This window comes from Homo sapiens, chromosome 18 (genome assembly GCF_000001405.40).
Source record: "Homo sapiens chromosome 18, GRCh38.p14 Primary Assembly".
In the NCBI taxonomy this organism is placed as follows: Eukaryota; Metazoa; Chordata; class Mammalia; order Primates; family Hominidae; genus Homo; species Homo sapiens.
The window spans coordinates 47,099,188-47,112,408 of record NC_000018.10 but is presented as its reverse complement, the minus strand read 5'-3'; the positions used below and the strand labels follow the sequence as shown (position 1 = coordinate 47,112,408).

Below are 13,221 nucleotides of genomic sequence, written 5' to 3'. Positions count from 1 at the left end.
AGGATTCACTAATACAGTATTATGACCACCGTAGACTGGTTAAGTGCCTTGGGTCCTGGTCAGCTCTGCACTAACTAGCTGTGTGAGACTCGGGTCAAGGCTCTTCCCCTTTTCAGGCCCTGTGAGAATGATGGGATTGGACTGGTCCCATCTCGCCCTCATAGTTTATGATCCTGTGTAGAGTGGGACTGATAAAGTCCTTTCGAGATAAAGAAAGAACAGGCATAAGATCTGTTAGTGGGGCTGAATATTATTGCATTGGGAACTTAATGAGCTGTTACCGTTAAAATGAAAAGCCCTTCTTCCCCTGCATGCTGCCCCCAAATGGCACCTGCTGCATTTGGAATTAACAGCACATGACAGCCAGAAATCTTGTCCAAGAATCATCACCAGACTCTTATAAATCAAATAGCAGATAAATGGTTCCATAGATGTCTCTGTGAGCTCATTTGCCTGGTTTCATATCATAGTAGTAAAACTATTTAATTGGCTGTTTACAGAAGGGAATATTTAAACATAAAGTCAAAGAAGAGTTACAACTGGGGAATTTTTTAGAAAAAGTGACTATGATGTTTGTTCAAGAAAATGTGGTTGCTTGAAATCTGTTTTGAATTTCAAATAGAAACAAGAAATGTAGATGGAGCTACAATTGAATAAGAAGTATGTGGCAAAGGTCTGCACAAAGAGTGAAAACACTGTCTGCTTGCTCCTGGGGCCTGAAGTGAACCATTGGAGCCTTGCAGATAGTAACACCAGTCACTCTAGAATTAACACAGTGGATTTTTTCGAATGTCTCAGTCAAAATGATCACCTTCCCAGGAACGTAACAGCCCTGTGATGTAAGCAGAAAAGAGGAAGAATGAAATGAAGTCTGGAAAAGTAGCCACACTCGTCAGCCTCCATGTATCTTTGTTTTCAGATTCCTGCCTTTTGCTGTTTTATTTTCTCATTATTGAAGAAATCCTTAGATAACTATTTTTGCTCTTGTGTATTATTCCCATGAGTATTTCTTTCTTTCTTTCTTTCTTTTTTTTTTTTTTTAGCTCATGTAATTAAGGATTTACACTGAGCTTCAAAATGGTACCTCTGTCAGTGTCTTGATGGGCCCAGCTCCCCCAGCTGGTCTCCACTGGCTCTGTCGTCTATTGTGACTGGCATTTTATTGTGACCAGCCTTTCACAGGCATCAGTTTAGTCTCTGAGAAGCCATCAGCGTAACACAATCAAGTCCAAAATGTGTAATTAGTAAATCAACTAAGTACAGCTCTTGGAAGCAGGCATATTTGTACCATTGATTTTTGGTCAGAAAAATCATGAATAACCCTACTGTTCTAAAAACATGTGGAACAGCCAGCTTCATTGGTAAATTTTAACTCAGTGCAGTGGACAAGTGCTAGGCTTCCCAGTGTTGAAAATAACCGTAAATATTTTAATTCATATTCAATAATAAGTGCTTTCTGTGGATCATCTCGAGCAATTTTGTTTCTAAAGGGGTAGCACAAGGTAGATGCTCAATATAATTTGATCAATTATTTGTTAAAGATTTTTGACTAGTCCTAACCAGAATTTGTTTAGCATGTGAAACAGTCATCTAGAAAAAAAATAGGATCTTTCTTTGCCTTCATATATCATCAACATAGCATCCTGTTTTCTCCCTCCATTCATCATTTATCCATCCATGAAAGCACAGGCTGCTGCAGTGAGTGAATCAGCCATGAGCAATGCAGGCAGCTCCATTCACTCAACGAACGTTATTGAGCCCCTGCTGTGTGCTAGGTGCTAGAACTAAAACATATACCTAAGCCACTTTTGTCAATTTCTATTTTGTAGAAACCCCACTTGCAGAGCCAGACTAAGCAAAAGCCTTTAACTCCATGGCTAGGAAGCTTATTTATTTGTCTCTTAGACCACTGGATCCAGAAAGTAGGTCATATAGTAATATTTAGTCATTAACTTACCTGTAAGATCAAATAGAAACCTTGTGAAGGAGTTTATACTAACGATATTTAAGCTTGGGAAGAAAACTGGCAGTAGAGCTTGCTGCGGGGACCATGCTATGGACAGGTGCCTTCAGGGTGCTAACGAGAGTGAGGTATATATTAATTACCTTTGTACATTTGATGCTGGCTCCCTTCCTGTAAGAAGTTATAATCAGTAAGATAAGACAGGAAGCGTCTTCTCCACCATGATGCAAAGATGTGGAAAAGAGGGTTTTTCAGGCTTTGTGTTTGTCTGGCAAAGCCTCTTAAAGTAGTTGTAGAAAACAGTAGGTCTCTTGTTGAAAGAGCTGAGTTTAGGCAGAGAAAACTGGGAAAAGCAGAAGAATCAACAATAGAGACCACAAAGGGATGAGAGAGCAAGGAGAAAGGTGAAGGGCAGAGGCAGCCCTGGTGGCTACAGGGCAGGAGCTGCGTTCTGCATTTCCTCCCTCCCCTCTCTTCTTCCCTCCATTCATTCTTTAAAAAGATATTTATAGGATAGTTACTATGTGCTAGTCACTATGTTAGGTACTTGGAATACATTGGGACATGTAACAGATATAGCCCCTGTCTCAAATAACTTAGTCTTCTTAAATGTGAGACAGATGTTAAACAAATAAATGCATAATTACAAATTGTTGTAAATGTTGTGGAGGCAAAGAACAAGGTGAATAACAGGGAGGGGGTTTAATTTGGATGGGAAGGTGGGGTCTGACCTGAAGCATGAAGGAGGTAGTCAGGTGAGAATAATGGAATGACAAGGGAATGGCACGTGTGTAGGCCCTCAGAAAAGCAGGTCCAGTCTGGGACTGCAGCCTGGTGAGCCAGTAGCACATGCTTAGGTGAGAGGGTCACTGGGGCTGCATGACAAAGGGCTTGGTAAGCAGCAGTAGAGATTTTGGATTCTTTCTGAAGGGCACTGGGACCCATTAAAGGGTCTTTAAATAGGGACTGTGCACCTTCTGACTTGTAAAAGCTCTTTGTGACCACTGTGGAATGGTTCCTCTGCTGTGTTGAGGTGTTAAATTGTGTGCCAGGTGCTAGAACAGCAGGCCATCTTGAATTCCACGGTTGGGAGAGTCAGGCAGTGAGCCTGCTGCTTGATGCCAAGTGGCCTGTCCTGCCTGGCCCCTGGCCTGCGAGCATCCATCACTCTTTTCCTCCCCAACCCAGGGCGTTCTCATCTGCTGGGCTCCCGGGCTGCCTGGATCCCTGCGTGGCAGCAGCACATCCTGTTCCCAGTTGCCTTTGGGAGCGGATGAGTCCTCTGCCCTCTGGGGTCTGGGCTTCCATTTTAAAGCATTAATTTAATCACCAATCTATCTTTAGAGCTGAGGGTAGGGGAAAGAAAATGATTTCATCAGCTGTGAACATGTGAAGGGAATCTTAGCTGTCAGACGATCCAGTACCTGTGGCTGTCCATTGTGAATGACCAGAGGGCCTGGGGAAAGGCTGAATGTGACATTTCTTTGAATTGCCTCATTTACATCCTGAAGCCTCAATAAAAGGTGATTTGGGAGATGTGCAGCCCCTGATTCTGTCTTAACTGTAAGGGTGGTGCTGTGATGACCCAGGTGCTCATGGGGTATGATTAATTTAGCATTCTGGTGGCAGCCTGTGTTTACTGGCTTTACTTTCATTTCAGGGAAATATCGAGCATCAGATGAAGAAAAAATTAATCCACCTCCTTACTTAACTTGTGAGAGTTTCCCTCATGCTGTGGACCACATTCTGCAGCACCTATTGTGAAGCAGTGTGTGCATCTGAAGCAACTTGAAATGCAGCTTCTTATTGTCTGGAATGAATCCCTTACCAACTCAGTGCCAGCATCGGTAGACACCAGTCAGTGCTGATCGCTTTTTAACCCTCTTTTGTTGTGCATTAATTAGAAAGAAAGGTATTGAATTGCGGCTAGCCAGTAAGCCTTGCTAATCTCTTTTATTTTGTAACTGAAGATGAGACCCAAAGAAAGGGAAAGCTGAGATTTTGTGCCATTCCTTTTAAAATATTCATCAGGTTAGGTGGGGCTGTGGGGGAAAAGCTACTACAGGGAAGAGTGTTCTCTGCTGTCTCTTCACTGGAAAACAGGGAGGGGGGATTTCAGACTGTGAAGAAAGTTGAATGGTGGTTTTTAAATTATAAAGTAATGTATTAAAAGGTGCATTAGGCTGTAGTTCTAATATTGAGTTCAACTGTGAAATCCATCAGATGTGCCAAATGGAGAAGACAGAAAGCAACAAAGTGAATTGTTCTTTAGCCCAAGTGGTACAGTGAATTTGCTTTAACAGATGTTGAAAACTAAATTTTCTACTGTATTCCCAGCACGGGTGACTTCTTTTTCTCTTCATTAGCCAGAGATGACTAATTTAAATTTAGAACCAGATTTTAATTTAAATTAATATTTCCATTAATAACCTATTCATTGCAGATACCTATTATACTGTGTAACAGTTGTTTTGGAAATTTTATGTAAAATTAAAACTATCAGTATTTTACAGATGTTTTAATTAGACATTGTTATTAACAGGAACAGTGCAGAAACTAGAATCAAGCCTTATAATATCTTATAGACCATGCATTTTTGAAGTTAGTGTCCACTAGGGTCCTATTAACTGTACATTTGCAAGATTTCATTATTTTTGCCTCTGACACTATGGGAAAAATTTTTTAGAAGCTATTGGGACAGATTCAAGCTTTTATGCACTTGGTTACTACAGCTGTAAAATGAAATCTCGTCTTGTAGCATGGATTATTCTTCTCATGTTAAACCCACCAAAATAAAGGGGACTAAATAGGTAATGATTTTCCTAGTGCATTTGCATACTGTGATAATCCTGGGCCTTGCAATAGTTCTACAGGGCTCTTGGGCATTGAATTATTAGGATGTAATTGTACATCATTGTAGTGTTCACCTTATTGAAGCTCACTCTGATGTTAATGAGCTTCGGGTTTTGATGCTTGTTTAGAGATCAGCAGTCTTGGATGGGAGGGAACAAAGCTAAATAAATGTTAGTTTGGTGAGCACTGTGTTTTTGTTTTTGCAAATGCCTCATCTTAGTACTTCTATATCCCAGAGTGCAAAAGACAGATGTGATATGACTACCACCCCAAATCAGAAGGATGAGCGGAGTGGCTAAGAGTATACTCTGGATCCTGGTAACACAAAATTAGCTCTCTGGCCTTGGGCAAGTCACCTCACCTCTCATGCCTTCTTTCCTTATCTATAAAATGGGGATAATGATAGTGCCCACCACATACGGTTGGTGTGAGCATTACGTGCATGAACTATATATTAAGTACTTAGAATATCATTGGGCAAATGATGAGTGCTGTGCGTTTGTGATGATGATGATGATGAAGCAGGACTCTCCACATTTAACAGTCTGAAAAAGGTTGGTAGAATTTATCTTTACATTTATCTCAGTGGAGAAAGTCTTCCTAAGGATTAAAAAAAAGGATATTCTTTACTACATTTAGACTTCCTCAGAGCAAAGCTGCACAGAGAGAGAGCTCAGCCTGTGGGTAGAGAGCTCTGCGTGGTGCCTGGTGGGTGGGCTGCCTTCAATTTTGCCCTGTTGCTTGGGCACCTGGGTCAGTGATGCCTTGGCCCAAGCATTATCAAGTGTTTGCTAGTTGCTGTGCACTGAGTGCCCTGATTATGGTGGGAAATAAGCATATTAAGAAAAAGATTTTGCCTCAAGGATCCTTTTCAGTTGAAGAGCTAAGGAAAAGAATACACACAGAGGCGTTCCTGTCCTCTGATGTCGTCCCTGACTTCAGGATGGGGCAAGGTGTCCCCTCCTTCATGTCCGTGTGGCACTTGAAGAGTGTACTTATGTCTTCACATGCTCTTCTCCCCACTAGACAGGGCTGCATCTCATTTTTTTAAATTTTAATTTTGCTACCCAGTTAAATTTGAGTTTCATCATTCTTTCCTATATCTGCTGCAACACAGGTAAGCACTCAAATGGTTACTGAACCAATAAAAACTAAATATCTTAGGAATGTAATGCTAGAAAGCATAGCTTTGAGTGGGCAGGAGAAAATGTTCATTTTAGACTTGTTGTCTTAAAGTTGCCCATAGGGGAGGCCCCATTAAATAAACACTTGGAAGTAATGGATCAGATGCTCTGGAGACAGGTTAGAGCTAAAGCCAAGAAGGGAACATCATTGATGGGTCAGGAAGTGAAGAGGGTAAAAGTCTCCTGAGCATGATGGACTCAGCCGGGAGAAATGGCTTCTCTCCATTCTTCCATTCCACTTAATCCCTGTGAGCCCTGAAAATCTTAGTTTGAGATCTTTAACAAGCATTATATAGGACTTGCTAACTGACCGGCCCACAGTAAGGTTCATGAGAATAACTAAAAATCTTACTTATAAACATTCCAATCCATGTTAGTCTCAGCTGGTTAGTCTGCCTTGGGCCTCATGGAGGAAGTTTAGTAACTGAAGTTTCTTAGGCTTCATTTTCTGGCTGTCCCATTTAAAGGGCTATCTGGTATTAATTTCAAGGATGGTGTTTGCATCAGTTTTATTATAATCCTGTCCTGGGCCAGAAAAGGGACCATGTGACACCTTGGGACTGGAAAGGTTATTAGAAAACATCCATTGTCGGGAGTTGAGTGTCCCACATCTGCTGTGAGCCAGGAGTGTGGAGCAGGGCAGAGCTCCAGTCCAGGGGAAACAGATTCAACCCCCTCCACCCACACCTCCAGAGTCAGCCACAGGTTGCAGTAGCTCTGCCTCCCGTACGTTCTGCATCTGTGAGAGCTAATCGTAATGGCTAGGAAAGGAAAAGGAGGATAACCTACCTCATTCTAAGTGACAATTCCATCAAACTTTACCTTTAGCCGTGATGTCAGAAATTCCCATGGAATGATAATATATGTCACTTCACACATAATCCCACATTTTAGAACTTACAGTAGTGTGTTGGACAGAGAAGTTAAAAACACCTACACTGATTGTGTTCAATTGGTTTTTGGATCAATGTGTGTTCATGTAGGATAAAACTGAAGTCCTTGGGCACCTATAATAGAGAATTTTTTTAAATGACACTAACCTATTGCATTAAAACACTGCCTCAAGCAGTAGAATCCCTTTGTGATGTTAGCAGTTGTTTGCAGAGGGCTGTGTTTGCCTTATCATGTTTATTTGACATAAGTCACAAAAGCTTTTTTCAGCCTAAATGCACAAGGCTTTTGGTGACTTCCGTATTATACCAGCCATCAAGGCCTCCTGTCCCAAATCATGTTGCTATCTTTAAGGAGCAGTAACGAGGGTGCCAAAGTACCAGAAATCATTTGTTTCAAACAGTTTGAATGTTTTTTCCAGTGCTTTTCTTTATGTCATACACAGCTCAACTCCTGTTTGTTTCACTAGCTGATCTTCCTGAAAAAATCAGATATTTAATGTTCTCTGTGAGTAAAGCATAAGGGAGATGGAGAGAATACAGCTGTGGCTCCTAAGATGTGTGTCTTTTAGTTGGGAAATTAACACATATAAAAATTTATAACAATACCAAGGACTCTGACATGTTCAGAATGGTTGTGTAAGTCCTCTAAGATCATGAGCAGTGAGCAAAATGCATGAGAGTAGTAGTCACAGACAGTGCTCAGATAGCCTTTGGCCTACGCCATTTTAAATAATGTTTCATTCAATGGCAGTGAAAAAAAGTACTCCAGGCATGGAGCTTACATTTGGAGGGAGCAAACAAATGATGAAACACGTGCATTTATACACAGCTACCGAATACAGTGAGAGATTGATGAATGATGAAGAAGAAGGCCAACAGGAATGCGGTTACTTTAGGTAAGTATGGTCTGCCAAGGAAGGCTTTTAAAGGTGAGTGGGAGCAGGCTGTGGAAATTCTACAGGCATATAGTTAACCTTGATTGCCAACATCTGAACACCAGGAGATTCTAATGCAAATCAACCACTGGGTTTTCTAGGAAGATGGGAAGAACTGGCTTATGTTAGATCCAAATTTCCATGTCCAATTGGAGCAGAGTCATTACTGTGTCAGAGAGTCCCTGGCCCTCTCTAGCTCACCACCGTCTCCACCTCTGCTTTGCCTAACATCCATCTTACTCCTAATTTGCCACTACATTCCATGTTTCTGTAGGTCTTTGGGCTGTGACCTCTGCTTTGGAAGAAAATACATTAAACTTTCCTCCAACAGCTATCAGGCCAATCTCCTATGTAAACTTAGATATATACTTCTAATCTACTTTAAAAAAATAATCATAGAGACTCAACATAGTAGGTTAGTCATATGTGTTGGTCTCTTTTTCTCAAAGCCACACCAAAATAAGAGTAAAAGGAATAAAATGTAAACCCACAGGGTCAGCCCACAAGAGAAGGTAGAGGAGGCATCAGTGGATGAAAAGGTACAATAATCTGAAAGGTGGAAACTGGTTGGAATGTTGATAGCCAAAATCAGTGCAAAGAAAATACAGCCAAAATTCATCCTGTAGAACAACTTCAAAGACTTAAGGCTTGCAGACAGCAGGTAGGGAGGAAGTGAGGTACAAGACAGGATTGAAAGTGAGGAATTGGTTAGAAGTTGGAGCCTCAGGAAACTTCCCCACCCTGAGCAGTCAGATGCCAACCCCTAGTCAAGGCAGGAGAATGGAAATTTTCCATTATTCTCTGGAAAAATGGAACCATGGAAATTAAGGCCATGGAAACAGTGGGCATGGTGGTGGGCCAGGGTGAGATGCAGGGCTGGAAATTGATTAGGTACAAATTGCTTATTCTGCCATGGTCTTCTGCTCCCCTTTCCCTTAGAACACCAGGACCAGAGCGGGTGGGAAGGGAGTGGAAAGTTTATCTGGTATGTTTGGCCATTTGGAAAAGAATATTGATGGGTATCTGACAGGTCCGAGAATGTGTTAAAAAAAAAAAAAGATACTTAGAAAATTAAGCAAATAGAAAAACAAGGCAGTTGTTAATTCTAGGAAAGACAAAACAAGAAAGCAAATGTAATTCTAATTCACTAGCTGGCTCTGCAGTTAACAATGTACAGTTCTATTAAAAATATTGATTATTGAGTTAACCTAAAATCATAATAGAACTTTTGGGATGATGGAGACAGATACGTATATGTGGTAAGGAAAGGGCAGAGAGATGAAAGAGCTACACTTCATTTCATCCAAAGTGGGAATAAATATATAAAGCATCAAGAAGAAGCCACCAAAGTAAAGGCGTGACAGAAAAACATCCACATGCCGAAGTATTTGAAGACAAATTTTCTTAGGAAAAAAGAGGAGGACTGAGTATGTGATTGAATAGAGGTGGAAGTGTTAAAAACATGGACTAGGCGATATTTAAAGGGAATGGAGGATGTGGAGATGCAGCAGGCACACAGGCTGCATATGGGGTTTTGGAAGTGGAAGAAGGTTAAGTGTATTTGCTGTGAGGGATGGCAGGACTGCACTTATTCTGAATGAATTCAGGAACGGGCAGTAAGCAGAAAGGACCTAAATGTATTGTCATGAAGCCTGCTATCCAGAGGAGCATTTCCCCTGCCCCTTTACCCAGTCACTTTTGGGTATACATACAGCACCAACTTTCCCACTGCAGCAAATTCACAACAGCAGTTGAGATTTTATAAAATTAGAAATGATGGTAGTGGCCACAAGCAAATGGACTAGCAGCTACAAGAAATGTCAGCTGATGTCAGTTCTGACAAGAAGAACCCCCGCCAAACCATAAAGTAGACATCGGAACTTAGGCCTTACATCAGTCTTGGGCCATTCAAAGTAGAGTCATCTATGTCAGTGGTCCCCAGGCTTTTTGGCACCAGGGACCGGTTTCATGGAAGACAGTTTTTCCACGGAGTGGGCCTGGATAGGGGGCGGGGGATGGATGCTTTTGGGATGAAACTGTTCATCTCAGATCATCAGGCATTACTTAGATTCTCATAAGAGCGCATAACCTAGATCCCTCGCATGCACAGTTCACAATGGAGTTCACGCTCCTATGAGAATCTAATGCTTTCGCTGATCTGACAGGAGGTGGAGCTCAGGCAGTAATGCTCACCTGCCTCTTAGCTGCTGTGCAAACCAGTTCTAACAAGCCACGGACGGGTACTACGGGTCCATGGCCCAGGGACTGGGGACTCTCTATATCACTGGTGCTGCATGGTGTAGTGCCTGATGCTTATGAAGAAGTTTAAGCATGTACTGAGATGAAATCTTTTTTATTTTCAATTTGTTAAATAAGGTATATTTTCAATTTGACATTTTCCATGAAATGATGTTTAAAGAGGCATTTGAGAATAATCTCAAAATAATCGATACCGAAAAAAATGCTTTGGTTTTGTTTAAAAGGGTAAAATCCTTTGGGATACTTAGCTATCCAAAGTGTCTCTTTCTGGAGGTTTTTCCTCTTGAAGAGTCTGTCTGCAGGGATGATGAAGACAAGGCAAGGAAGAGAAAAGAAGGTGATTTCCCATAGGTAAGTTCTAGTGGGGGAAAAGAAGTGGCATTACTTAGTAGAAGCCTTCAAAATTTATCAAGGGTTGAAAGTAGATGCCTCGGATTGTGGGTTTCTGAGAGAGATGCGTCTAGTTGTTTATAACCCCTTAAGGAGAGGGGGAAGAGCCTAAGAGCAGGGAAGACTTGGGATGAATGTTCTCGAAGCTTAGGTGCCCCATCCTAAGCTTTGGATCTGATGAGAAGCTGCGGCAATGGAAAGAGAAGGGCAGAGCACACCGGATGTGAGGTGTGAAGAGTGAAAAGATGTTATTGGGGGCCAGAACCCAAAACAATCAGACTGGCAGCTGATGGTGATGGTGTGCTAGTCACCCTGGCTATTAGCTCTAGCATCAGAATGCTCAGTGACATTTCTGAGTGGGGCTTAGTTTGGGAGGGGTTTGCTGCTGACAAAGCTGGATGGAGTCAGAATTAGGGGGAGCTGATGAGATTCAGAATATTGTCCGGAATGAGAAACAGACTGCATTGCCTTCCCTGCTTCCGTCCTCCTTCACCCTGGGACTGTCAGCTGGGCAGTGCCTGTCAAGCTTAGCTTCTACTTGGCTGCCCCAACTCAGGGTCATCCTGTGTGTGGCCAACACAACTTTTCTAAGTACATCTTTTTCTTAAAAAGTTTACAAATGAGTAACATTACAGAAAATTGTTCATTAAAATTTTATGGAGTCTAATTGTCAGAAAAATCTCCATTGTATGACCCAATAGCACATATATGTATGTAACTGAAACTCTCAATATTTTGCTGACATCGATAATGGTAAGTTAATAAATATATCTCAGCTATCCAAAACAATACAGTGGCTCAAGTTAATCCAGTCTTCAAAAATAATTTTCTCTTTTCCATTCCAATCATTTTGTTCTCCCACGGACATTAATAAACTAGGAGGTCTTTGTGGTTGCCTTTGTGGCCAGGTCAGGGTAAATGTGGTTTCAGACAGACTCGAACTCTCTTTGCCAGTCTGAGTATCTCTGAGCCAGATTCTTTGCGGAGGGCTTGGTGTGAGTTAGCACATCCAGAAAGTCGGCAGTGGTTACTATATCCAACTGGATCCTGGGTAAGTCGCTGCTTTCTAGGATAAGAACACAACAGTAACAGCACAACAATCGACCTCTTGGTGATCAATGCTCTTGAAACGCTAATAGACCTTCTTTCAAAATAATGCATAATGCAGCATTCTTAATTGTTAATGCAGCAAAAGGCAAGACTAAAGAGGGCTGGGGAAAAATTCTTTAACGTGCAACTGAGTTAGCCCCTAAGGCCCAGACAAAAAAATGTGACCTAAATGTATCGTTACCAGGTATTATTTAATATTTATATAGTGCCTCAAATGGATCCAGCCCAACATCAGAGTGTGCCAGAGAAATAAAAGCCTGAGCCCTAAGGAGTTTATCATCTGCAAGCAAAGTCGATCCAAATCAGAACACCCACGGAGGAATGAGTTGAGTGAGGGATGATTTGACCAAAAAACGCATTGCCAAGTGTAAAGCGGCACCAAGAACAGGCGCCAGGCTCCATCTGCTGGTGAGAGGGATTTTTACACAAATTCCTGGAACACCTTCATGGTGATCCAACCCATACCTGACTGGTGATTTTCAAGTGCATCAAAGATCTTCCTCACGGGCCGCATGGCTGCTTCCCTGCAGACGAGCTTAATATCTGAGCCTGAGTAGCCCTCAGTCTCCTGAAACAGCCAAAAAACCAGCCATTGGTCAGTGGGCAGAATGCTCCTGGCCATTACGTTGTTATAGGCAGGACCCAGTATCAGAAGCCCTGTGTAGATTCTGTATCTGTCACCCATGAACATCCTAAAAAGATTCCCAGATAAACAGTGCTTGAGGAAGAGACCCTGCTAGCATGTTGGGATAACCTAAGCAGCTGGGCTAGAATGGCTTTCTAACACCATCGAAATATGCTGTAAGATGCCAGTGAAGGATCAGAACACCCAAGTTAGCCTATCAGGGCCCCTGTGCTCAAATCCAAGGATGGTCAAATTTGGTAGGCACGTTTATTCTTGTAAATAAGATCATACCTGCCATTTAGGAACCTCAGAGAACATTGTGTTCAAATGTTCACCAAAAGCAGGCAACATTTCTGCAACACCCTGGGAATGGACACCAGTGATAATGGGCATAATAGACATGTACCTGGAGTTTTTCTGTTATGTAATCATCACAGTCATTCTTTGTGGCTCATCTGCTACCCATTTTACAGATGAAGAAACAGGCTCAAAGAGTAAGTGACTTCTCCGAGGTCACACAGCTAACAAGCAGCAGGGCCAGGATTTGACCATAGGTTCTCTGAGTCTAAACCCTATGCTGTTTCCACTGCCTCACATTGTTTCTCCTTCTCTGAATATTTTTAAGTGAAAAGGAGCTTATTCTTCGTGAAGATGCCCATTGCATTACGGGGGCAGCTTGGATCTTATTCTAAGTGTCTCAAGCTTCTATCAGCTCATGGTAAGACCTGGTCTACAAGATGGCCATATGGTGGGCCCTTGACCTACATGTGCCCCTCTCCAGGGCAGCTGACCTGGCTCAGCACACTGTACTCCAGCTCTGTGTGCAGCTCCAAGGCCCTGCTCTTGCTCACAGGAGGCAGCCAGTGGTAGATCATGGCCTGCCTGGCCTCCCGGCTGGGGAGATCGACCAGAATCCTCTTCTCCAGGCGGCGTAACATGGCACAGTCCAGCTCCCTGAAATCACACCAGAAATGGAGCTGGACAGGGCTGCAAACACACTTCCTGAACA

At 42.3% G+C, this 13,221-nt stretch overlaps 2 protein-coding genes across 17 annotated transcripts in view, besides 2 other annotated features; one reads left to right on the top strand and one right to left on the bottom strand.

The window, feature by feature from the left end:
* HDHD2 (haloacid dehalogenase like hydrolase domain containing 2) overlaps positions 1-4,999 on the top strand; it is a 43,091-nt gene extending 38,092 nt beyond the window's left edge. For 5 of the 7 annotated variants that reach the window (NM_032124.5, NM_001318765.2, XM_011526227.3 and 2 more), the window contains one exon: positions 3,624-4,999. In NM_032124.5, the coding sequence (NP_115500.1) occupies positions 3,624-3,727 (104 nt within the window). In that variant the 3' untranslated portion in view covers positions 3,728-4,999. Of the gene's footprint in view, positions 1-622 lie in introns of all 7 variants that reach the window. The other 2 variants (XM_005258371.5, XM_024451272.2) reach the window with 2 other exon arrangements.
* Positions 5,000-10,165: 5,166 nt separating this feature from the next.
* The window catches only part of KATNAL2 (katanin catalytic subunit A1 like 2), a 184,650-nt gene continuing 181,594 nt past the window's right edge, over positions 10,166-13,221 (bottom strand). For all 10 annotated transcript variants that reach the window (NR_148563.1, NM_001353904.1, NM_001353899.1 and 7 more), the window contains 3 exons: positions 13,004-13,166; positions 12,053-12,155; positions 10,166-11,543 (listed from right to left, as the gene is read on the bottom strand). Coding sequence is in view for 9 of the 10 variants with exons in the window: in NM_001353904.1 (NP_001340833.1) it covers positions 11,404-11,543; positions 12,053-12,155; positions 13,004-13,166 (406 nt within the window). In the remaining variant the exon portion in view is untranslated. The remainder of the gene's footprint in view (positions 11,544-12,052; positions 12,156-13,003; positions 13,167-13,221) is intronic.
* Positions 11,858-12,070: a silencer, noted in NCBI's record as "fragment chr18:44626710-44626922 (GRCh37/hg19 assembly coordinates)". NCBI's record gives its function as "represses an EF-1alpha promoter that drives an FKBP-Casp9 reporter gene in an ReSE screen in phorbol 12-myristate 13-acetate-treated (for megakaryocytic differentiation) K562 erythroleukemia cells {active_cell/tissue: K562(+PMA)}" and the evidence as "EXISTENCE:reporter gene assay evidence [ECO:0000049][PMID:32094911]".
* Positions 11,913-12,022: a silencer, noted in NCBI's record as "silent region_9424". NCBI's record gives its function as "represses an Ori minimal core promoter by ATAC-STARR-seq in GM12878 lymphoblastoid cells {active_cell/tissue: GM12878}" and the evidence as "EXISTENCE:reporter gene assay evidence [ECO:0000049][PMID:35858748]".